The sequence below is a fragment of the Homo sapiens genome, chromosome 3 (genome assembly GCF_000001405.40).
Source record: "Homo sapiens chromosome 3, GRCh38.p14 Primary Assembly".
NCBI lineage: Eukaryota > Metazoa > Chordata > Mammalia > Primates > Hominidae > Homo > Homo sapiens.
Window position 1 is genome coordinate 87,257,348 of NC_000003.12, and position 26,793 is coordinate 87,284,140.

The 26,793-nt window shown below is 32.8% G+C and overlaps 1 protein-coding gene across 2 annotated transcripts, besides 1 other annotated feature; it reads right to left on the reverse strand.

Moving 5' to 3' along the window:
• POU1F1 (POU class 1 homeobox 1) lies at window positions 2,057-19,237 on the reverse strand. 2 transcript variants are annotated; one of them, NM_000306.4, is made up of 6 exons: window positions 18,974-19,237; window positions 16,000-16,071; window positions 6,941-7,165; window positions 4,724-4,888; window positions 3,926-3,986; window positions 2,057-2,757 (listed from the first exon to the last, which is right to left on the reverse strand). In NM_000306.4, the coding sequence occupies exons 1-6, from the start codon at window positions 19,113-19,115 to the stop codon at window positions 2,547-2,549; spliced, it is 876 nt and encodes a 291-aa protein (NP_000297.1). In that variant the 5' UTR covers window positions 19,116-19,237; the 3' UTR covers window positions 2,057-2,546. The 2 variants fall into 2 exon arrangements, with proteins under 2 accessions (NP_000297.1, NP_001116229.1); NM_001122757.3 differs by having other exon boundaries at window positions 16,000-16,149.
• Window positions 15,705-15,754: a silencer, noted in NCBI's record as "silent region_14544". NCBI's record gives its function as "represses an Ori minimal core promoter by ATAC-STARR-seq in GM12878 lymphoblastoid cells {active_cell/tissue: GM12878}" and the evidence as "EXISTENCE:reporter gene assay evidence [ECO:0000049][PMID:35858748]".

Genomic DNA, 26,793 nt, shown 5'->3' on the forward strand with positions numbered 1-26,793 from the left:
GTATAATACAAAACATTAATACAAATGAGTTACTGGTATTTACTGGCCGGGGAGGCCTCAGGAAACTTACAATCATGGTGGAAGGTACCTCTTTGCAGGGCGGCAGGAGAGAGAATGAGAGCCCAGCTAAGGGGAAAGCCCCTTATAAGACCATCAGATCTCATGAGAACCAACTATTGTAAGAACAGCATGTGGGAAACAGCCCCCCTAATCTTCATCTGGTCCCTCCCACTACACGTGGGGATTATGGGAACTACAATTCAAGATGAGGTTTGGGTGGGGACACAGCCAAACCATATCAGTTAGCAAATAATTGCTATTTCACTGGGCACACTGGTTCATGTCTGTAATTCCAGCACTTTGGGAGGCTGAGGAGGGAGGATCGCTTAGGTCTAGGAGTTCAAGATCAGGCTGGGCAACACAGGGAGACCCTGTCTCTACAAAAATTTTGAACATAGCCAGGCATGGTGGCGTGGCACCTGTAGTCCCAGCTACTTCAGGAGACTGAGGTGGAGAGCCCAAGAGACTGAGGCTGCAGTGAACAATAATCGTGCCACTGTACTCCAGCCTGGGTGACAGAGCAAGATTCTGTCTCAATAATAATAATAATAATAATAATAATAATAATAATTTGCTATTTCATTAGTAAGTATTAACTCAAAATAATTTCTTTTAGGGAAAATACATGGTTCCCAATACTGGTAGTGTCTAAACTTGAAAATAATGACCTTATGGATGGATGTTTGATAATACTACTTATGATCTAAACATATTGATTTAAGCATATATACATGCTTATTTTTGTTACATAAAGTAAGAGTAAACATTACCAGAGGAATCATATTTAAAATGCAAAATAATCACTAATCTAGATTTATATTGCATGACATTTTGTTTCTATTTGCAAGTTTCAAAGTGCATATATACATTTTTGCATATATACGTATACATTTATGTATACATGATCTGGCTTTTAGCAAACTAAAGAATCCCTTCCCCAGTTAATGTGTTTTAAGTAGGCGAAGAAATACTGAGTTATCCAGAGAAGGGGCTTGAATGCCTGTGTGGCTGAATAATTTGGAATTTACTCTTAAATAAGAATGTTGTATTTAATATCTTTTGGATGCTAAATGTGTGCTTAAGCATGGATGATTAGGCCACTGAAAGCTGTTTTGTTAGTTAAATGTCTATCTTTGTTAGTAATATATCAAATTTTACCCATCTAATTGATGGTGATTATGTATGAACATACATATATGATCTATGTAGATTATGACCTGTAAAAATGCTAGGTCTTTAATAATATCATAAAAAGAGACTGGACAGTATAATTTATTTAGTAAGCATTCTAATTCAACAATAAAATTTGGTCTAATTGTTACCACTTTTGTTATATAAAATAAGTTAGATAAACATAGCCAGCAGATTTACATCCAAATGCAAAACAGTCACTATTCTAAGTTAATATCACATTACAGTTTGCTTCTACTAGCATGTTTCAAGGAAATGCATTCTTATAATTTAAATAAATATGTTCTTGTCGATAAAATTCTCAGAATTAAAATCTCAATATGTCAAACTTTTTACAAATAGTAAATCAGATTCTAATCGATTATACCAAAAGTGATCATGTCTTGTTATAGAAACCTGGATGATTTTCTAGATTGTGAGATTTCAAAAACATTATAATTTAAAATTAGGTGACACCATTCACATTTGTAGCCATTGTTAACCTTAAACACTCCTTCATTTAACAAAGATTGCATGCCTAATATGAGCAAGAACTTTCCCAAGCCCTGGAGAGGGAACACCAAACAAGCCAGATCTCTTCCTGTCCTGTTGCAGCTTACAGACTAATGGTTTGAGGCTCAAGAATCCATAAAGCATTATTTTCTACAGCTACACATCAAAAAGCTAATATTTAGGAAGAATAAAAAGATCAAAAATTAATGTTTCTACACATCTCTTTTGAAACAGTTCTATCAGCTATGCCCTAAATTTTAGCTTCAAAGTATCAATTCTGATTGAGGTTTATTCCTAAAGGGAGTAATAAAACTATAAGACACCTCCAGCTCTTAAGTTCAAAACTTTTAGTTCAGACAAATTAGTAGAGTTGGTAGAAAGCAGAACATTGGTTAATTTTTGAATTGGATATTTCTGGTGATGTGCTTTACATATGTGTCATTACTGACTTACATGTTAAAAAGCTAATATACATGTTTGGAAAAGGAACTTATAAACCCATACTCATATGTCTGCGTGTGTGTGAGAAAGAGAGCGGGAGAGACAGAGAGATCATTTTATTACTGTTAATATATTTGGCTTAAAATAGATAATGTGGCTTCTGAGAATAATTATTTTAAGTAAATAACATCAATATAATTTAAATTGTTGGTTTCTTTTTTTTAAAAAAAAGTGGAAAAGTAAAGCTTCTGTAAAAGCTATTGATATAAAATGATTTTAAGTCAACCAAGTAATTTCTGTTTTTGTTGAGGAAGAGAAAGGAATGAAACGGGAGAAAAAGGCTATTATACAATAGAAAAATCTTATCTGCACTCAAGATGTTCCTTAGAAATAGAAAATAAACTCTGATTCAGACTTGTTTTCACCCGTTTTTCTCTCTGCCTCCGGTTGCAAAACCAAACTCTTACTACTTCTTTCTCCAGATTCAGTTCTTCAGCCATCCTCATGATCTCTTGAGAAGAAGGTTTATTCTGTTCTCCAAAGTGTCTCTCCAGAGCATCTTTAGCAGCAATGCTGGCGGGGGGTGGACATAGGGGGTGAAATTTTGTTGTTTTTAGTGAAGTTTTTGGCAGCTCAAAATTAAGGTAGGTTGAATTTCCTCAATATTAACATGAAAAGGAAACTTAAAAACTCTGAACACACTTGCAGGACACTTTAACAAGGACAAATGTATAATGTGTTAAATATGTAGATATTTTGTCTTATGTAAGGTAGAGTTACACGAGAGTCACGGAAAGCATTAAGTAGGGGACCCAGACTTTCTATGTTTTTCCCACTTTGTGCCACCAGAGGGCACTGAGTTCTTGAGAAGAAAATGAACATTTTCCTAGACATTTCTAAATATCTCCCCAAAATCATTTAGGGCTGTTTACGATAAAGGAAATCTCTAGTAAACAACTGACCAACCAAAACAAAACCTGTCTTTTAGTATTTGCTAAGCATGTCTCACAGAAACTACAAAAAGATCAATGAACAATCTTTCTGGGTTGAAATGCAAGAGGTCATGTTGAACTTGAAGAGACCGAAACACTGATTACTAGTGTCACATTTTTAAATACTATAGACACCATGGATACTACATTGTCAGAGCAATAAGTTATAGCTAAAAGGGGAGAAGATATGGCCAGTCTCTTAGAAATGATTGTTTTCTTTCTGTTTGTATTCAAAATTTTGGAGTAAAAGTGTTCTTGAATCAAACAATACATAATTTTCCATCAAATGTTGAAAATTATTAGCTCTCCATTTCTCAAAATTAAGTTATTACATTATTATTATTTTTTTTTTATTTATTTATTTATTTATTTATTTATTTATTTATTTATTTATTTATTTATTTTGAGACGGTGTCTCGCTCTGTCGCCCAAGCTGGAGTGCAGTGGCGCAAGCTCGGATCACTGCAACCTCCGCCTCCCAGGTTCAAGCCATTCTCCTGCCTCAGTCTCCTGAGTAGCTGGGATTATAGGCACCCACCACCATGCCCGGCTAAATTTTGTATTTTTAGTAGAAACAGAGTTTCACCATGTTGGCCAGACTGGTCTCGAGCTCCTGACCTCAGGCCCGCCTTGGCCTCCCAATTCACCTTACATTTATATGTTATGTTACACCTGCATTACACTCAAATGCTCATTCCATTTATAAAATACCAGTTTTGTCCTCTAGTAACTTTTAATATAAAGAATACCTTATAGTTGTTCTTCGTTTTCTTTTCCTTTCATTTGCTCCCACTTTTTCATTGTACAAAGCTATAATGTGGAAAAGAGAGATAATTACAAACACAAAGTAGACTTTTTATAAAAAACGATCTGATTTGGATTTCAAATTTTCTTCATAAAACAATGCAAAATAAAAATGCTAGACATTTTTGTCTTAAATTTTTGCAGTCTTTTTCTATTACAGACCTTAGAGAAAAATCTCAACGCAGAAATAAATATTAACCTTGCAAAGACACTTTCTACAAATAATATCCTCACTTTACTTTTGTTGGAATGCTTGCTGTAAATACTCTCAAACCTCACTCTTTATCAGGCTCTGACATTTGTATGAGTAGATAATTTTAGCTCATTAAGTTGCATATCTAGCAATTGCTTATATTATTTTCTTGGAAGACTGGTGTGTGCAAATGTTTTGTGTACACTAATATTAGGATACAAATGTGATTCATATATAATTTCTCTAGTATAAAAGAGAGGAAAAAAATGGATGTGTAAAAAAATAAGTATTTTACCCCTTCATGCTGATGCCAACAAGCTTTCCTTATATAGGTTATTCTATCCTCAATAAATTTATTTCCACACTTACATTGCCCTTCCTTTTTTGTTGTTTGTTTTAGTGTGATATAACAAAATGTTTATTTTTCATCTCAAAGAGAAAAGGCGGAAAAAAACCCCTCAAACCTCCTGCTTTAGCATTAATCCTACTTATTGAAGCCATTATTTTTAGGTTAAAACACAGCACAGCCTTCAGAGACACAATTTAGTACCTCCTACTTGCTCAGCTTCCTCCAGCCATTTGGATAATATTGCTTTCAGTTTGCATGCATTTTTAAAGCTGAGCTGCAGATTTTCAAATCGGCAGATTGTTGTTTGACTGAATTCAGAGCCATGCACAGCTGCCAGGGCCTCCCCAACATTTGTCTGGGTGTATCCTGTGAAGGGACAATAAAGACCATCAGCTCCAACTTTCCAGGAAATGTTAATTTTGGTTCATTGTCACACAAATCTGTGTATCTTTGTCAACTATTACACACTATTTTTTAACTATATATTCTTGGCAAATCAGAATTATTTAGTAAGATTCATTATACTTTGAAGTACTTGTGCAATACTTCAAAACATATTTCTTCTAGTTAATAAATTACTTTTATCTAGTCACTGAAAGAATTCAGATAGAAACATCTGCCATTCATAATATTTAACCAGTGTTTAGGTGTGTCCTAAACACTTCATAAGGCACTTGAAAATTATGGCTTTTTTATCATTATTGTTAGTTATCAAATAATATATGCTCAAAAAATTTTAATATATTAACTATAATGCATAAAATATACGGTTATATATCATAACATTCTTATTTCAACTCTAAAAGATTCAATGATATTGTTGAAGGGTACTAAATAAAACTAAGAATTATGTCACTTTCCCTAAAACCATATTTATTAAGAGGCTATGATTACACATTTCATGTATACTTCTGAGCCCATTTTATAGTTTTTGATAATGCCTCTGTCTTCAGACTAATGATCCTTATTGTTTGTCGCAAACATTTTTAGAGTACAGCTGAAATAACATATAATTTGAAACATTCACAGTAATATAGATAGAAAACTGAAAATGAATTTCACAAAGATTCCTACTACTGTGCTTATCACATGTAATAGCTACATATTATTTCAGGACCTAAGGCTATATACCTATATGTATAAAATGGTTGCATATGATGCCCATCAATAAATATTCTTATTACATTATCTATTGTTCATTCTGCAAGTGCAGAGGTTTGAACTATTATTTCAATCCATTAAAAAAATACACAATTTTATGCAATTTAACCAAAGTCAATTGTTATAGTTGTTTTATTTTAAAAACACTTCAGTAGAAAATGAGCAAAGGCTCTGAACAGATAGTTCACAGAAAAGGAAATATAAATGATTGTCAAGCATATTAAATAATATACTTTACACTCATAATAAAAGAAATTTTAAATGAAAAAACAGTGAGATGTCACTTTGACCTGTCTGATTTGCAAAGATCTAAAAGATTAACAGCATATTTTTTCTTTCAACCACCATTTATTTATTTTGTGTTATAGTTATACTCTTCTAGATGCTGGAGATATCATTAAGGAGAAAATAAAAAGAAATAGATTTTAAAAACTCATGCCGTTTTGGAGTTTATATAGCCTGAGGATGGTGAAAAAGATTCTCATGGTAGTAGTAAAATTTGGTACAACTTCTCTAGAGACCAGTTTGATAACATCTATCAAAATTACCAGTACACATACTTTTGATCAAGCAATTGTGCTTCTAACATTTTTGCTGCGCATATATTTATATGAGTGCAAAATAACATTTATAGGGTTAATCATCGTGGTATCGTTTTTATCAGCCAAAGATCAGAAACCACCTAAATTTCATCAGTAGAGGACTGGTCAAATAAATTGCAGTATATTCATAAAGTGGAACTTGACAGCCCCACAAAGGAAAAGGAGCTCTAGAAAAATTACTACTGAAAACTTCAAATAATACATATGTTTGGCACAATACATATATTTCCATATATATTTACTTATATATCCATGAGATATCATTGGAAAGATACACAAGGAACTAACAACGATATACAGAAAAAGCAAGCAGAAGGGATACATGTCACTTATACTCTTTTGTACTTTTGAATCATATAAATGTATGGCCTATTCAAAATTTCAAATAAAATATAGATAAAAATGGGCACTTCAAAACTAATGTTGAGGTAAGTTTTGAAAGAGTATTATTAATTTAAAAATTATGTATTTAGGCTCTTAAGAAATTATAAGGAAACAAATGTTTTTGGAGGATTTCCATAACGACTAACTACGTCCACAGTAGAGATGAAGAATGAGAATCATCTTGTACTTTTTAGCAATATATAAGAGATTTAACAGCAATAAAGATTTGCAAACCAAGTTCTTTTTCCTGTTGCCTTTAACAAGCACATACCTAATTTAATTCGTCTCACTTTAAATTCATTGGCAAACTTTTCAAGTTCTCTGATTTCTGGAGAATCCATGTCTATTGGCTCTTCCACCAATTTACTTTTCCGCCTGAGTTCCTGCTTGAAATCAGCAGCTGTGGGGTCCTCTGCCAGAAGAGGCTGGTGTATAGGAGGAAATCCATGACTCAAGGTGTGGTCAGGAAATTTATAAAGACAAGGGGTTAAACTACCTGTGAGTAAACAAAGAAATAAAATGAAAAAGACCATTTGTCATTCTCCTTATTTCTATATAAGAAAGGGTTTTGCCTGACTTAGCCCATTATTCTGCTCTAGCCTGTCTCAGTACTTACAAGGTTACCTTACATTCAGTCTTCCGAAGAAGGAGTCAAAGTAGCTTAGTAGAATTGAGATTATTTGTCTTCTACCTTCTCCAGAGCAGCAAAACCAAAGATAGGGTTAAAGGAAAGAAGCAGGGGACTGCAAATAACTAAAATAGAAACAAACAACTTCTCTCAGAAGCATACATTTTCTATCATGTTTTTCTCTTAAATGACACCTATTCCTGGGAATCTGAGGTTGAACTCTAACCAGAGTCTATGCATTGAACTCTGTTTTCTTAATTCATTGAATAAATAATGGGTGATGTTTGTTGTGATCATGGCACTAAATGCTTCGGCTAAGTGCTATGCTGAGAAGTTTTCTTGTGATTGGGAAATTGATTTCACAATATAAAAACGCCCCACTATTTAATCAGTAAAAACTTGATTTTATTAAGAAATAATCACATCTTTTTTAATTAAATGAAGGTAGGCAGAAAGAGAATGATGAGAATATAAAGTATATTAATATGGCTAAATAGGCTTGAGGAGTGATTAAATATTAACAAAAGGTAACCTTAAAAGTTCTATTAAAAAGTCACTAACAAGATTTCTTGAAAAATATACAATATAATAGAATAATTTCTTGATTATTATTTAAGGAAAAGCAAATATAAGAAGCAAGAAAGTTTGCAACTTTATATATGATAAGTGATTACCGATAAATGGTAAAGCATTGACTCTACTGAGTGGATATGTTAAATCACAAAAAATGTAAAAAGGTCTGAAATTATTACACAATTGCTTCCAGATTTCCTTTTTCATTGGAAGAGTCTATCTCAGTTGGGAAGTATAGGTGAGAGGACAGTATATAAGCCAAATTCCAACACATTTTGTTTCTTGTTTTCTTTATCAATACATTACAATTTTTATCGACAAAGATTCTACTTCAATTTATATTAAATGACATGTCTAGTGTGCCTTCCATATCCATGGGTTCTGCATTCATGGATTGATGCAACCATGAATTAAATACACTTAAAAAATAAAGTAAAAAATAACAACACAAGAATAAAAATGATACAAATAAAAAACCCAATACAGTATAACAATTATTTACATAGCATTTACATTGATTTAGATATTATAAGTAATCTGGAGATGATTTAAGGTAGAAGATGTGCCTAGGTTATATGCAAATACTACACCATTTTATACCAGGGACTTGAGCATCGAAAGATTTTGGTATCCTTGGGGGTCCTGGAACCAATGTGCCACATAGAAGGATGATTGTATAAGCAAGACATTTTTATATAAAAATATTGAGTAATTAATCATTTTCTTATAAATATAAATATTTTAAAATAAATTACTATGGAATACATGCAATAATTATTCTTAGAAACTTACTGGAAAAAAATGCATCAAGAGTTCATGCTACCTATAATTTCTCCACACATACATTCTCAAATCAAAGACATGAGTAATAATATATTTTCCAGAATACAGAAATCTTACATTAATATATCAATATATAATGAGCAAAGAATACCGTAACTCAGCAAATTGTTGGTTTATATTTTTTATATAAAAATATGTAATCATAAATATGTAGTTATTTATTTAATTTAATTTATTTATATAAAATTTATATTTTATATAAATTTAATTTAATGTATTAAATTTTATATAAATTTAATTTAATGTATTATTTATATAAAATATGTAATTATAAATATATAATTATAAATGTGTAATTATAAATATATAATTATAAATTTATATAAAAATATGTAATTATAAATATGTAATTATATCTAATAGGGTATATTATTTTTTCTAAAACAAAGTAAACATACAAATGAGAGATTAAACAAATTAGCATAACATAAATTTATCTGCTCTAAAGCTGGGAAAAGATGTGAAAGAAATTATTTTTGTCTTTAAAAAATTCCTGCTACTTTTACAAACCAAAATTATCCAGGTTTACTTTTGTAAAAGTCAGTTAACTATCCATTTTATGCTTTATTGTGTGGCATCTTGATCAGACAAGAGAACATTTTTAAAAGCAATTTTACCAACTTTTCTTTTATTATATAGCTTTTCTTGAAAATATTTATTGCCGTGGGGTTTATTTTTAGCTTTTTATTAATTTTAATTTTCTGCTAAATTAAAAGAAGGACTAATAGATGTAAAAGAAAATTGATGACATTTATGTTATCATTTATTTAATCTCATATTTATCTGAAGACTTGTTTTGTGCTTATGCTTTCAGAATTGATTCTCACATATATTTATAAAACCTTCACTTCTTTGATTATTTAGGTCCATCAGGTATCACTTAATACATTTAATGATAAAATACCCTGAGAAAGAGTACAAAGAAAAGCCAGGCTACTGTTAGATTTTGTACATTTAACATATTTTAAGACACTTTAGATAACTCATTTAACCTATGTCAAATTATGTTTATTTTATATAAAAAATTTGTGTGTTTTTTACTTACGCATACTAAAAGGTCTAAATTTGTTATCAATTATTATTATTATTTTCAATTTCTCTTGCTGATCATAATTATGTACTGCTACAAATCTTCTATGCAACACTTTGTGTCGTGTTAATTTCACATTTGTTATCATCTTTATCCTTATACAAAAAATGAGTCAGGAAAGATATATATTTTTCCCCATAATTTACAATGGAGGAAATTTAAGTAGAAAGAAAGTAAATAACTTGCCTCCAGTGCCCAACGAATTAACTTTGCAGTTTAAACCAGAACTAAAGTCTAATAAGCATTGCAGTAAGCCACATCAAAATCATTGCCCGGTTCATTCTCCAGGCAGTCTATACTCAGGCAAATTAAATAACTTCTCTTTAAAAGGTTTTCTCTGCATTTAAACACCTTTGGCTATATTAAACAAACACTGTTCCACAAAAATATTACAATAAAATATATATAAAGTGTGTCATCCCTGTTTCCGTAAAATTGTTTATTTGTTTGTTTGCTTATTTATTCTTTATTTTTAGAGATGGGGTCACACTCTGTCTCCTAGACTGGAGTGCAGTGGTAAAATCTTAGCTCATTGCAATCTCAAATTTCTGGCCTCAAGCCATCCTCCCACCTCAGCATCCTAAGTAGAATCTACAGGCATGCACCGCCATGCTCATCTACTTTTTTAAATTTTTTGCACAGACGGGATCTCACTATGTTGCCCAGGCTGGTCTCAAAACTCCTGGCTTCAAGCAATCCTCCAGCCACAGCTTCCTGTAGTGCTAGAATTATAGGTATAAGCCACAGAACCCAGCCACAAAAATTGAAAGGTAGTTTATACATTGTAAGTACTCTGGGAAAGTGGACACGCAGAAAACAAATTTGAATGGAATCCATGAAAAGTACACAGAAAATACCATGCTCCAAGGTTTGGCATCCAGAACAAGAAGGAAAATGTGATGTGTGATACATTTTTTATTTTTTTCCCTTTCCCTTTTTTTTTTTTTTTTTTTTTGACACAGCGTCTCGCTCTTGTTCCCTAGGCTGGAGTGCTCTCGGCTCACTGAAACCTATGCCTCCTAGCTTCAAGCAATTCTCCTGCCTCAGCCTCCCTAGTAGCTGGGACTACAGGTGCCTGCCACCACACCCGGCTAATTTTTATATTTTTTAATTTATTTTTTATTTATAATTTTTTATTTAGAGACAGGGTTTCACCACATTGGCCAGGCTATTCTCGGACTCCTGACCTCAGGTGATCTGCCTGCCTCGGCCTCCTAAAGTGCTGGGATTACAGTTGTGAGCCACTGCACCTGGTTCACTTTCATTTTTCATTGCATGAAAGTATCTACAATTATCTGCAAGGTCACAGATTTCCTGGAACTAACTTCACACAGAATTTCATCACAACAATTTAAAAGAACAGCCAAACGAACCTCTGTTTCTAGCATCTGAGCCTGCATTTGGGGGAGTGTGGAGAGTGATTGGGATGATATGTATAGCAATATGTTTTTCAAATCTTTTTAAAACCCAGATTACTGCAAAAAGTAGGAATAAGATAAAAGATGTTGTGAGTCATGTGTGACAGAGGTCTCATCAACATTTTCTGAAACATGGATAAAGAAAAATTATCTTGAGGCCTGGACAGCACACACACACATAGCTCAGAAGTGTTTGCACACTGTAGTTCCAAATACATTTTCACATTGAAGATTAATTCACCAGAGCCTTTCTAAATTGCTATGTATGCATTTCTGTGTGACAGAGGAGAGAGAAGAACAGAGGTAAATCTTTTAAAGCAGGCAATGGGGGTCAGAGATAGGGATGCCTTACTAGGCGCTGACTCAATGTACCATAGCATGGGGCAAATTGATCTTTGCAGCATGTGGTTAGCTGACAACATCATCTCACGTTACTGGCTTGATGCCTTAAAAAAACAAACAGGGGAAGCAGAGGGACATAGTAAAATACGCCACCCTGCTGTGCTTGTAACATGCACAGGAACATGTATCTGAATATTTCCATATATTCCCCTCTGTTGCTTAGGCATAAAAATTCAAAGGAAATTATAAACTTCCACTGTGATCTTTTCACTCTTGTGCATTGGTAAATCCTATCCGTGTACAACTGGGGCCTATTGCCTGTGTTTGTAAATTAAGTTTAATTTGAAATGCCTATTTCTTTACACACAGGCTGTGACTGCTTTCCTACTACAATGACAGGTTGAATAGTTGCAACAAAAACTAGAAAGGTTGAGATATTTACTGTCTGGTTCTTTACAGAAAAGGGTTGCCAACCCCTAGTCTGGAAGTGAAAATACATCATGTTACTGCTACCAAAAGACCTTTCACGATGTGGAAGCAAAAGATCTTCAGAATTACTTGTTTCCTTAGAGTTGTTACAACCAGAACAATTTAGGGCCAAATAAAACAAAGAACTAAACAAAAGAAGTAAATTAAGAAAAAAAAATTTCAAATTTCAAAAAATGAAAAGATGGGTTCCAAAAATAGACTAGACTATTTCTCCCTGTCAGTTGCCAGGCTGATTTCCGTTTTCTTCTGTATTAGCCCAGGCAGCAAGAATATTTTCAGCCATAACAATCTTTTCTTTTAATATCCACTTCTCATGAAAAAGAATTGGATGCTCATCATCTTGTTTAAGTCCCAAGAGTTTGGGACTTAAACAAGTTTGTTTGTTTTGTTTTGTTTTGTTTTCCCCTTGAAATTAACTTTTAAAGCAAGGACTTTCACACTACTTCTTGGTTTGGCCACTACATCATGTAAAGATGGTGGGTTTAACATTTATTACAGTGAGGTTGATTTGCTGTTTCCACAGGACAGCAGAAAGGGTGAACCCCCATTGAGCTTGTTTCCTGAATTGTACTCTGCTTCAGATACTGGAGAACAGAAACAATCTCAGAAACCCAAGAGTCAGAGTTTTGAGAACTTTTTTTTTGATACTTTGTTTTGTTTTGTGTTTATCTAGGAGAGACTTTGAACAGCATCTGTAATTCTAGGTTTTCTATTATTTGTACTGTAAGGTGTTGATTTGAATTCTCTAAGTTCTCAGGAGTGAAAGGACAGAAGGAATTTAGCTGCAAGAGTACGTGAAGAGAAGGGCAAAAGAGAAATCATTTTGAGCTGACACAAATTTGCTACTACTCAACCCCAGTAGAGTTGTAGTACCCACCACAACGTAGATATGAAGAGATTGGAACTCAGAGGTGTTAATCACTTGAACAATGTTAGTAATTAGTTAATGGCATGGATAATTCATTACTCCCAATTAGTCATTCTCTTTATTTTGCCTGCACCTGGACTATTACGTACAGTGGATTCATCTGATCATTAAAATTCTACCTACCAACCTGACAAAATATTAGTTATAGCTCTTCTTTTCCTGTGAGTTATTAATTTAATGAAATGCTCAAACTAAATGTAAGCATCAGAGTATGAGTAATGAAATAACCATATGAAAATAAAGTAATTTCACATATTTTAGAAATATAGTTCTTCCTGTAGCTTCACTTTTATATAGAGTATGTGACACCGTGTCGTTGTTGTTGTTAAGACACTTCTGTGGATTGTGTGCAAGGGGCTGATTTGATTAATGACTTAAGACTTCTCAGAAAATTCAGATGACATAATAAGGTTTCTATTGTGTACTTTATACATTTGTCTCTTATTTACCTTTTCTCTCTTATTTCTGAATTGCTGTATTTTGTAACTCAATTTATGCAGCTTTACTGGGGATAAAGTCAGGAGAGTTCAGATTCTCTAAGATCTAATCTCTCATGAAGCAAATGCTAATACTGAATTATGTCCCAATATAGACATTCTGACATTTAAAGCATATCACATTTTAACAAAATTTTTGAGAGGGATTTAACAATCCCTCTCAAAAATATTCAAATATCTTTGTGCTTGTGATGGTGAGTTTTTCTTTCAGTCACAGAATATATTTAATCTTAAGACCACAGTGATAGCTCCAGACCTTGGTGTAAGTCTTCTGCTCTTGATGTCACTAAGACAGGGTTTTGAATCATTTTGAAAGGCTCTTCCAGGGGTCTTTACATTTTAATTGAAATGAGGAAGAGGTTCGTGGAAGAGGGTTTGCTGAGTTCATGCTGGAGGAAACTTGTATCAGAAAGACATGAGCTGCCAACACTCTCAATGTGAACATTGGCATATTGGCTCCAGTCCTGGAAGCAGTAAGGGTGTTAGAATTCTGAGGCCAGCTGCAAACTCCCGAGGCCAGTGGTGGCCCTCTCTGATTAGGCAGGGTGGGAGTTGGTAGCAAAAATTATCTGAAGGTATTTGGGCCAGAGATTATTGGCCCCTGCTCTGTGACTGGTTTTAATCTTGGTGCCAACCTCAATCAACTGGCAGGGACTGCCTCTGTGCTGGGTTAAGAGAGAAACTAACAATGTACCTTGGTTCCTGGGAGTTCCTCTAAATGAACTGTAAGGTCTTTCCTCCAGGAAACAGTGGCATGTGTTTGTCATTTCCTGTCTCATAATCAAAATGCTGTAAAGGCCACAGAAAGCAATCCACCCGCACCTCCAGTAGCTAAACGCATTTATTTTACTATTTTATAATGACAGTAGTTCATCATTGAGGAGGGCTATTCTCATTAACCATGAATACTAATTAAGCATGTTGATCATAAATAATCAATTTTCAGAGAGGAAGAAAAAATATGGCTTTAATTCTTAATTTTTAAAAAAAGACGTCAGGATTTACAGGTCATTGTTAAGAACACCAGTCTTCATTTAACCATAAATGTTAGGATACTGGTTTATTCAGAATGTTGCTTGATAGAATGTAGGAGAAGCTCATATTTTTCTGGATTATTATTTTAAAGTTTTAATGTTCTATTTAGTCTTACATGGACAAATTTTGAGATATCAAAGGTTAAACAATTTAATTAAAATTAAACTATTTGCTCCATTTTACTTGAAAATTATAGGAATAAATCAATATTTGTCTGCGGTTTTTTTTTTTTACTGCTTATCTGTATCATAACAAAACACAAGTCAATTAGAAAAGATTTCCCTAATAAGTGATTCCTTTATCCACAGTTTTTCCCTCAGTATCACACACATACACACACACCATGCACACGCACACACACATTTACTCACACAGTTTGTCATCAATAAGAATTCTTTTCCTGCTGTAGTAATAAAGATAAAATATCAAAGAATTTCTTTTCTTTTCTTTTATTATTATTATACTTTAAGTTTTAGGGTACATGTGTACAATGTGCAGGTTAGTTACATATGTATACATGCGCCATGCTGGTGCGCTGCACCCATTAACTTGTCATTTAGCGTTAGGTATATCTCCTAAAGCTATCTTAAAAATAAACCAACAAATGAAAATCCTGCGCATAATAAAACTGTGTACTTTTTAAAAACAATTAAAATCTTATGTGGCCATGCCATGAAATTAAACAAGAATTTTTGATGAATAGATCTCATAAGCCAGATCTACGCATTCCTCAAAAACTGTGCTTCAATGCCTTTATAGAAGGATCAATAAGCAGGTAGCCATAATTGATACAGTCATACTTCACTTACCTATAGGAGAAAAGTATGTAACTTCAATGATTTCAATCTCACTTAAGACTCACTCAGAAGCAATTCAGAAAGGGCTGCTAAAGCCTGAAACAGCTATCACTAAAGCCCCTACCAATCACTCTTAGCTTCAATCAATGTCTTATTTATGTTTATGGACCAAAGGTCCAGAAGAAATATAATGATGAGGGGGGGTGTTCTGTAAACCTGTGCTGTCTGATATGGGAGTCGCTAGCCACATGTGGTTATAGAGCACTTGAAATGTAGCAAGTGCAACTGAGAAACTGAATTTGAAATCTTGTTTTATTTTACCTAGTTTACATTTAAATTTAAATAGCCACACGTGTCTAGTAGCTACTATATTTTTAGTGAAGGTAAGCCTACCAATAGCATCATGTTACAACTAACAGTTTGACGATAGTGAATTTCAATAAAAACCATACAAAGCAAACTCAAGAAGCACAGCAGTTCAGAGATACGTAAGTAGGGAAATTAGGTATAACCCCTATGGTCTCTGTGGGTGTCACAGAGCAGGAAACAAGAAGTGGTGATTTTTAACAGTAATTTTCAAAGTTAAGAAATCAAATTTCATGTCACACTCTGATCACAATTCTTTCAGGCCCAGAAAATCCATCTAAGTGTCCCCAAATTCAATAACATGTAAAAGACAACTTTTCTTACCTGCCATCACTCCATAGGTTGATGGCTGGTTTCCATAATGACAGGAAGGAACAGAATAATGAAGTCCTGTTGCTGTGTTTCCCAACGTTGTCACCGAGAAATGTGTGCACAAACATTTAGGAGTTTGGATCAAAGACAAAATAGATGGGACTGGTAAGAAAATGTATAAGGATTCAAGACACATTCGTTTTATTTCAAAAATACACATTTATGTGGTTCTTAAAGTTACATGCCAATATGTTTTTCTCATTTTGGGTAAGTTCTCTGACGAGTAGGTTAAAACTAGGGGGGATCAAAGTTTGTCTCATGTAACGAGATAATAAATCATCAAAACGGACTTCATTAATTATCCTGTGCTCTGTGCTATGGCTACGAGTGCCCCGTGAAGGGGTGACTGACCAATTTAGACCTTGGCCCTTTGGGAGTTGCAGAATGCTTGTTGGTTCTGTTCAATGCAGACATTGCAACTCGCCGACTAGAAGAATAGTCCTTTAAAATTCTTGTGTTGCATGGTATTATAAAGCAGTCTGTATGAATGAATACAGAAATTCACTCTTGAACAGCGTATTTTTGCTTATTTGTCTAACAAATTTGTTTCATCAAAGTGGAAATGGCAGAGCAAGTAGCCTTTTATTAGATACAATCATAAAAATCTCACTGCATTCAGAGTGCTATTAAAAACCTGTAACAATATATGATCTATTTATTTTGATGTTGAAACCATGAGGTTGTTAGTTGTCTGCATATACACAATTGATACAACCATTCTAATGATAAAGCTGGTCAAAAAATGAGTTCATTCATTGAGTGACTTAATATCCATAAAGCCATAAAGCCGTACATAAACATAACCGTTCATAAATGGTTATATGCTTCAGGAAATCAATGTGTATTTTGGAAGTAAACTGGAATTATTAGACTTTTATCAAGTTTTAAACACAAATCATCAAGTTGATAGGGAGCACAAAATATTGACAATAAAACCAATATTTCCTTATATATTTTATTTTCTCAATTTTTTCCTTCATATTCTGAATATATTGGTTAATTTTCATAAATTAATTTTCTTGAATAAATGAGATATTATAAAGTATGGTTAGAATCCTTTGAGAATACCAATATACAAACTAGTGATTAAAGACATGCCTTTCTTCATAAAGTAAAATAAATTATTTTAAAATAGAGAAAAATCTTTAATTTTTAAAAATCTGTATACATTTTTATTTTATAATTAATAGCTCAAAAGAACTAAAGTCATTTTGCAATATAATGATTACATATAATGCATTACTGTGCATTCCAAAATTAAGCAAATTATCATTAAACATATTTAATACTCAAGTGTTCCCATTAAAGTCAGTGTTTCTATAATAGTTCCTTAGACAATTAGATGTATATGATTCAAATTTCATTAAAAAATTATAAATCAATGCTATTATCATTTAAAACATTTGTAGGTCACTTTTATTAATTATAATTCTTTTTTAATTTTAAGGCTTAAATAATTTTTGCTTTTCAGATTTTAGGAAGTTAAATACAGGATAGGCTAATTTACTAAATAAATTGTTACTTATTTTAAAGTAAATAAATGGCATTTTGAGTATAAAATTAGATTTTACTAGATTATTACCTCGATTCTGAATTGTATTTTCATGCTGGCCAAATTATCTTCAAACACAGAAATAGTGTATTATTCTCATTATTCTCAATCTATAGGATGACCTACTATTTAAAATATGTGATTAGCTATGTGGTAATTGCTTAGATTTATTTATAGCATATATTTTTGATAAAAACTATTGTGTCTTCCAAAAATTATGTTGGAGGATACTTCCTGTATTACCCTTTAAATTAAATTACAGAAATCTTTGGCGGATTCCTGAAATTTAATTTAAAAGGTAATATTGAAAAATCTCTACATTAAATGATTTTACCAAAGTCTAAATATCTGACCTCTAGATTCTTTAAAATCCACCAGAAGATTGGTGCCAAACTTACGCATGTATTTAGAAAATGCTTAATAATAACAAAAGATAGAGCTTAAATCCTTCAAATCAGAATAATGTATCAACTCAAACTTTGATTTCTAAATGTATATAATTTCATTCCTAAATATGAGAAAAATTGCATTTAAAACAAGTGGAAAGTGAATATTATATTGCTATTCAATGGAAGAAATTTACCCAATTCAAGTCTTTCTCCATTTGTAAATCAACTCTAAAACACTTTGTTACTGCATAAAGAATGAACACACTGGCAAAACATATGTATTTGGCTGATTGTGTTGAGCCTGTGAATTCTTAGGTTTAATTTTTGTTCTAAAAAGTTATGTGAGATAAATGTTAAAACTTAGAAGTGAAGTAAGTCTCTTCAGAATGCAATTTTGAGAAAATTTACCTTAGTTAATGGGCTTTAAATGTCATGTTATTTCTTGCTATAATTTCTGTATCTTATGCTAAAATATGTTAATTAAAACTCTATTTTATTCTATGAAATCCATTGTTGTTGATATTCAGATTGTTCTGTTGTGTTTAATATAAGGTTTATAGCTGTTTTTAGATAGTAAATGTAATTTAACAACCGAATAAACCTTTAAGATAAAGAAGTAGCACCTTTTAAATATTGTTATTTTATAATATTCATTTCATTTGCTCCTTATTCTATAAATATTTCCATTAAAAAGGTTTTTAGATTTAAAATGTCCAAGTTCATTCTTTTCTTATGTAGAAAACAGATTTTCTTCCTTACAACAAAGCCAACAGTGATTTTAAATTACTACACTTACTAATATTTCTTTAAAATTTATTTGGCATGTTGGCTTTTTAGATATGCTTAATGCTTACTTCACTTAAGACAAATTAAATTGGAGGGGTAAAATGAAAGATGCAAAGAGATTATTAACTATCAAGATTCAAAGCATTCATTCTGAAATATTTAGGCCCGGTCATATGTAAACTGTCATAGGAGTCAGTACCTGTAGACATCACATTGGTGGCATGGTTGGAGACTGGTAGACACTCGGCAGCACTGTGATGCATTATCAGAGGCAGAGTTGCAGAGGCGTCAGAATTCAGAGGTATAAAGGTATCAGCCGAAGTAAAAGCTTGGCAACTCATTCCCACAAGAGAGTAGAAAAATAAGGAGAACCGCTGCTCCCCAAATCAGAGTTTTATTATATTACTGTCTCAAAGGGCCGATTCAATTCTCACTACCTGCATATATACATCAGGAAGGCTCTGAGGCACCAGGAGGGTGCGCGCTAGTATTTATACTGCAAGGAAATCCCTTTATACATGTTAATAGTCTTTTCCCAGGAGTATTGCTTTATCAATCTGAACCGTCTTCCTTTTTTACCCCAAACATAATCCATGGCAGAGAAGGAAGCTGATTCTGGGGTATAGATGGAGGGGAAGGGAGAAATCTGAAACCTTATTTGACAACTTCAGTAGTTCAGACCTTTTAGAGAGGAATCAACAATTTTGAAAACACGTCCCTCAAAAAAATAATGCCACAATCAATTGAAAAATAGTAGGTATCTTTTTGCTACTAACACAATTGCAAATGTATAAATATGAGATTTTTTTAAACAACTTCTCATTAAATCTGCGATAAAACATGAAACAAAAGAAGTGCATAGTATTATACATAATTTTAAGAAACAATATTTAAGATTATGAGAGAAGCATATAATACTAAACATGAGAAAATATGTTGTCAATTAATGATTCATACTCAAAAATGCACAGCTTTTAAAAACGATGACAACCAATATAAGTTTTACTATATTATAAGTGAAAAATGGAAAAAAATTGGATAAAATGTAGTAATGATAGGTTGGTGCAAAAGTGATTGCATTAATGGCAAGAACCGCAACCACTACTGCACCAAAGTTAAATACAACTAAGATATGGGTAATTGTTATCTTTACCTCGATTTCAATTCACTCAAGAACCCAATATTTAGTAAGCTGTTACTAGATGCTGACAGTATTCTAGGTATTTATACAGTTACGTCATGCAAATCTCACAACATCTATGTGAGTTATGTACCTTGCCATTCTCACTAAGCTAGACTCTGTGCCACAAAGCCTGAGATAACCATGGTAGTTGCTAACTAGATGCAAACTTCTCACACAAAATATATTGACTTTATATGAGAATGAAAAAAATAATATGCTACAGCCAACTATTTCAAAGATAAATAACAGCATCAAAACTTTACAATGATCATGATTTATGAGTATGTAATGAGTAAATAAAATACTATTTATGTATTGTATATTAAGGTAATATAGCAAATAGAAGTAAGCGAACAGGAATAGATATTATTGATGTGAGTAGACACTAATTTTGTACTACGGAATGTTTTAAGATAATTTGGAATTGGTTGCTTTGTATCAAATTTCATGTTAATATTGATAAGACATTTTCAAAAACTTGAACACTTTGTCAGTAAGCAGCTGATATTTTGAAGGAAAATATGTAAAAGCTTGCCTAAATCATTAGATATGGAATGAAAATATTTATTCTAAAAATGACATATTTTTTCATTCTGAATTCTATATCTTTGAAGCTTTATTAGTCTTTTCTAATGAGAGAAAGTTTCAAGTAATCAAAAGCATTATTATACCCTTGCAGAATTCTGATCATTTTCAGACTTCACATATACAAAAAGGTGATTTTCAGTATGTCTATTTGGAGTTTCTGTTAAGAAAATTAAATAAAAGTGTGTTTATTGGGTATCATGTATGTTAAAAATTAAGCTAAATGATATTTATAGAAAATGTAATTTGAAAATGTCCCTTAATAATTTTACTATTGTTATATAAAGTCATTGGAATATGTTGGTAAAGTATGTGAAAAATATACTTTATGAAGTATACTGAAGATACTTTATGAAGTACCATAAAACCTGCCTAGCAAACAATATAAAATTTTCCCAGTTATTTACCATGATATCTAAAAAGTTTTAAATTGCAATCGTAGAATTTCTTCCATAATCATTTTTAAAAATTAAACACCTGTTCTGTTAAAATGAGGTAAAGCCAGGAAATAAATGTTTCCATTACAGTCTTCTACGATACAATATATCTATAGGATTATCTGGAATGTACCCCTTTAAGATAGATTCTTAGAAGTAGAATTACTAAGCTTAAGTCTTACAAACTTTTAACATCTTGAAAACATTACTAACTTGCATTTTCAAATAATTAATTATATTATGATTTTGATGTAAAATATCAGGAGTAAGTCAAGCAAAAAGAATTGTTTATTATCAGGAGACACAGGAGTTTCTTGGCACTCACAGAAAAGAAGGAAGTCAGGCCATAGAGACAGACTGAATAGAAAATGAGGGCACACCTCTCTGACTCTCCTACCTGCTTTTTTTTTTTTTTTTTGTCTCAAACTTTTTTCCTTCTCTATAGAACAGCCTAGGCTGATTCTCCATCCATGTTCACCTCAAAAATCTCTAGATCATGCCTTAAACTTTCAAGGAGGCAAACAGACTATCTTGTAGCTTCTCAGTCGACATTTATGATAATTTTTTTTTTTTTTTTGGGGAGTCTCACTCTGTCACCCAGGCTGGAGTGCAATGGCGTGATCTTGGCTCACTGCAAACTCTGCCTCCCATGTTCAAGAGATTCTTCTGCCTCAGCCTTCCAAGTAGCTGGGATTACAGGCGCTTGCCACCATACCTGGCTAATTTTTGTATTTTTTGTACAGATGGGATTTCACCATGTTGGCCAGGCTGGTCTCGAACTCCTGACCTCAAAAGATCCACCCGCCTCGGCCTCCCAAAGTGCTAGGATTACAGATGTGAGCCATGCGCTGGGCCGAGAGAAATACTCTTATTGGCTATAACTTTTTGGTAAGTTCCAGAAGTATAAAGATGGTTCCCAGTGGTCCACACTTATGAATGGGTAGGATAGTCCTGGATACATTCAGATGTTTGTAGACAAGGAGGGATAGAACATTGTCTTGGAAGACACCCTTAAAATATGACTGATGCTCTTATACCATCTTACACTAGCATTAGTGGTGTAAAATCCACAATTGTCTGGCATTCTCATTGTTAGTAATAATGTGTAAATATATATGCCTTATTAATCTGATAGGATAATATTTTAATATTTTAATCTGCATTTTTGATTGCTGATATGCTCTGTTTTCAGGTTTATATTTGCTATCTGTATTTATCGTTTTGTTAATTAACAGATTCTATATTTTATCCTTTTATTTAAAGGCCATTCAATTTTATTATCCATTTGTGTCTTTTACAAATACACTGAAAATTTTAATTTTCATTGCTCTGATCATTGTATGATTAAAATTTTCTTAATGTCTCATCTTTTAAATTTATGCTGGACCTTGGTATACATAGTATTTTATGTAAGAGCTAAACATGTGGTTCATTTTTTGCATGCATTTTTAATGATTTCAGACTTTAAAATTTGACCTTATCCAAAGGCTTATTTATTTATTTTTACTTTTGTTTTGTTATTTTGGCACCTTAAGAAATTTTCTATTGACATTTTAAGCTGCCATATTCTGTATGTTTCTAGAGCTCATTTATAATCACTTAGATAATAATGAAAATTGTAGCTCAATTTGAAAACTACCAGATAAATAAGAAGAAAATTCTACTTCAATCTAAGATGATAAAAGAAAATATGCAGAAAAGAAGTCTTCGCCAGGTGTTTTTAGCCTGATTTATTCACCGTATTTCCTCTTAAATTAAGCAAAGGATTGATTTTTTTAAATACTCTGAGTTTCAAAAAAAACCACATCTTGAGAAAAATATATATAACCCCAGAAAAAATCCTGTCATACTAATATAAAGACACATGCACATGTATGTTTATTGCAGTACTATTCACAATAGCAAAGACTTGGAACCAACCCAAATGCCCACCAATGATAGACTGGATTAAGAATAAGTGGCACATATACACCATGGAATACTATCCAGCCGTAAAAAAGAATGAGTTGATGTCCTTTGCAGGGATATGGATGAAGCTGGAAACCCATCGTTCTCAGCAAACTAACGCAGGAACAGAAAACCAAAGACCGCATGCTCTCACTCCTAAGTGGGAGCTGAACAATGAGAACACATGGACACAGGGAGGGAAACCTCATATACCGGGGCCTGTCTGGGAGTGGGGGCTAGTGGAGGGATAGCATTAGAAGAAATATCTAATGTAGATGACGGGTTGATGGGTGCGGCAAACCACCATAGTAGGTGTATACCTATTTAACAAACCTGCACGTTCTGCACATGTATCCCAGAACTTAAAGTATAATTTTAAAAAAATAGCTGGGCGCGGTGGCTCATGCCTGTAATCCCAGCACTTTGGGAGACCGAGGCGGGCGGATCACCTGAGGTCAGGAGATCGAGACCAGCCTGGCCAGCATGACAAAACCCCGTCTCTACTAAAAATTCAAAAATTAGCCAGGCGTGGTGGCGGGCTGTAATTCCAGCTGCTTGGGAGGCTGAGGCCTGGAGAATCGCTTGAACTCGGGAGGCGGAGGTTGCAGTGAGCCGAGGTGGCGCCCTTGCACTCCAGCCTGGGCGACAGAGCAAGACTCTGTCTCAAAAAAAAAAAAAAGAAAAAAAGAAAAGAGAAAAATATGTAACCCCAGAGAAAAATTCTATTAAGAATTAATATTCAAATCTAATTATCTCTGGGTTATATATAAAATTAAAACCTCTTTTCCTCTATTTTTCATATTTATGTTTTCTAATTTTTCTACTTTTTTTTTGTGAGTTCAGAAGCAGTATATATATTCAGCATGGAGATAGATTCTGTAATTAAACTGTCTGGCTATAAACCCAAGCTTTATACCTTAGTGGCTATACATTGATGGACAAGTAATTTTACCCTTTAGTGTTTTGGGTTATTTTATCTGTAATATGGAGATAATAGTAATATTAAACCCACTTACAACAATACTTGGCATGTAATAAGCTTTCAATAAATGTTAGCAATTACTAATTGCAAAACTTTTTAACTATTGTTTATGCATAGTTAGTCTATGTGCTTTATATGTATTATCTCATTTTATTTTCACATTAACCTAGTGATATAGGCACTAGTTTACTGACTGGGAAACTGAGATAAATTCTTACCAAAGGTCATTCAGTAAGTGGTGAAGCTGGTGTAGTAATATAAGCCACTTAAAGCCTGAGCAAGCTACCTAATACTGTCCTCTATTATATAAGGAAAATCTATATAGATATTGATATTTGTCTAAGTCTAGTTCTGTATCTCATCTGTGTATCTTCATATGTAGACTTTTTGTTTGTCACATAGATTCAGAGAGAAAACATGGAAAGAAAGCTGATTCTCAATGACGTGATGATCTTTTCAACTGTATCTCTGTACAATCCTGTATTAGTATTGCGCTATAGTACATGAATGATATGGGCATTATTCCTTGCAGAGCAATAGACTGGAAATGCTGAATAACCCCATTCAATAATGTGTTCAATTGATGCTAATAATTGTTATTTCCACCAACTTGCAATTCAAATTACTTTGAACTGATTACAAGTTGTGGATAATTCATACACACACACACACACGCACACACACATATGATATAAAGACAAAGGAATTAAGATGGGGGCTTCCATTACAATAAGAAAGTGAAAATGAATCTAAATTAATTTATTCAGTTAGCTTAAGTGGCAGTAAAATGTTGTATTTCCACAACTCATAACCTTTGAAAAGATGATAAGTTTTACTCAAAGTAGTTTATTAAGAAAAGGTTACTCAGCCATATGGTTTAAAAAGGGACTCTGCCACACTGGAAGCAGACATTATTTAAGGCACATATCAGTCATGCATGCCATGTTGGGCTCTTTATTGATAGTGAAAACAACAATGAATGTACACATTATGTAGATCGCCCTTGCTTAAATTAGTTTATATACAGAAATCAAGGTTCTTTATTGCCCAAGGAAGAGATAATGTTGACGGTTTGCAACCTTGCTGAAGATGAATGCTCTCTTAATGCTGTCTAAAGGGTAAACTTGTAACTTATGGCAAATAAATGTCAAGGTGAGACGCTGACTTAGAAATGATGCTCGCCCATAAGGGCTATCTCTCTGTTGTACTATAGCTCAGGGGTAGATTTATCATTTGTCTCACTTAAATAGATCCATCCTTGTCCAAACAATATACCACTGTGTCTGAGTTAATTTAGTTGGAAAATCTCTTTGCTCTGAATTTTCTTAGACCACATTAATAGATAATGCATAGAGGTACATTTTAGAGTGTGTAAATCTTTCACAAGAGATATGTTTGCTATTGCACTTGAATAAGAAGTCAGATTTTCATTCCTTATGCCCATGGTGTAAATAAAAGAAAAAATGATTAGCTCTTTAGTAGTCTTACTGGGTGACACAAGGATATCATATGGTGTAATAAGAAATGAATACAGAACATTGCAAATTAAATGACATTGTGCTGAGTGAGTCTGCCACCTTTTTTCATTTAGGCATCTCTAAAGATGAAAGAAGCAGAATGCTTTCTTAGTTACTGCAATAAGATTATTTAATTATAATCATCTGGCTATGGCTTAGTTCATGACACAAGATAATCTAATGTAGGGATTGCAGAAGGGAGATGAGGTAAACAGGGGTACAAAGCGGGAAGAAGAAAGGTGTTTCATTTCCTCTGATGGAGATCAAAAGGTATATTTGATTATTTGGGATTTCCCAGTGTTTTGTTTTGTTTTGTTGTTGAGGGGGCCTGGACTATGTTAACTAAAAAATTCAGCCTATCAGGATTGTTTAAGGATATAGAGACTCAGTCATGTCTCTACAATCCACAAAATTTGGTAAAACAATTTCATAAAAGTGAAGGTAGGCAAAACTTACCATATATCACAATGAAGAATTAGAAGGCTTTCAGAAGACAGATTCATCCCATGTTCTGCTTTAAGACTCTCTATTCTACCATAAATTGTTTATACAATTTCTGCCTATCCTTGTTTATTTTTTAACTACTATGTTTCAAAGTATAATTTATGCTGTCTTTTTCCCTACTTAATATTCAGAAATGTAATAGGCAGATGAAGTGCTTATAAATTTTTGTTCCTTCCGTCGAGAAACTGGGTATCTAATAAATTAAATTTTCATAAATCATTGTTATTCTGAATCACTAAGGAGAGTAGATGTGGCTGAATCTTACTTGATTTATGATTCAAGCAGGAAAAAAATGAGTGGTTTGATGGATGTGAGAGAAATAAATGGCAGCATAACTAAATGAATTGAAAAATCCCAGTGACTGGGGGACATTACTTAGTGCTTAAGGCTGTTCCTGGCATGTAGCATAGGAATGCAGTACTCTTTTTGATTATTTAGTGATTAATTATTTAGTAATTAAGAATGCAGTACTCTTTAGTGAAAAGAAAATTGTTTCTTTTATAATAAGATAGTTCTTTCTGAATTCAAAATCAAAATCAGATTCAGTTAATGTTTATTGAACATGTACTTTGTGACATATTTGTACAATGTACTTTAAAATACATTGTTATTCTATCATATGCTATTTAAATTGTTATAATTTTAGTGCTTTCCGAGTTATCTGCTCATCTCTGTCCTATATTTTCACAACATTGTTGGAGAGATTATTGTTTGTAAATTTGTCATTTACCTTTTTATCGGTTTAAAAACAACACGTTCCTATATGTTTCTTATAGTGTTACTATCACAGAAACATTCAATATGCTGGTTTATATTTAATTCAAAAATCATAATCTTCCCACATACTTTTTTATCAAGTACTAA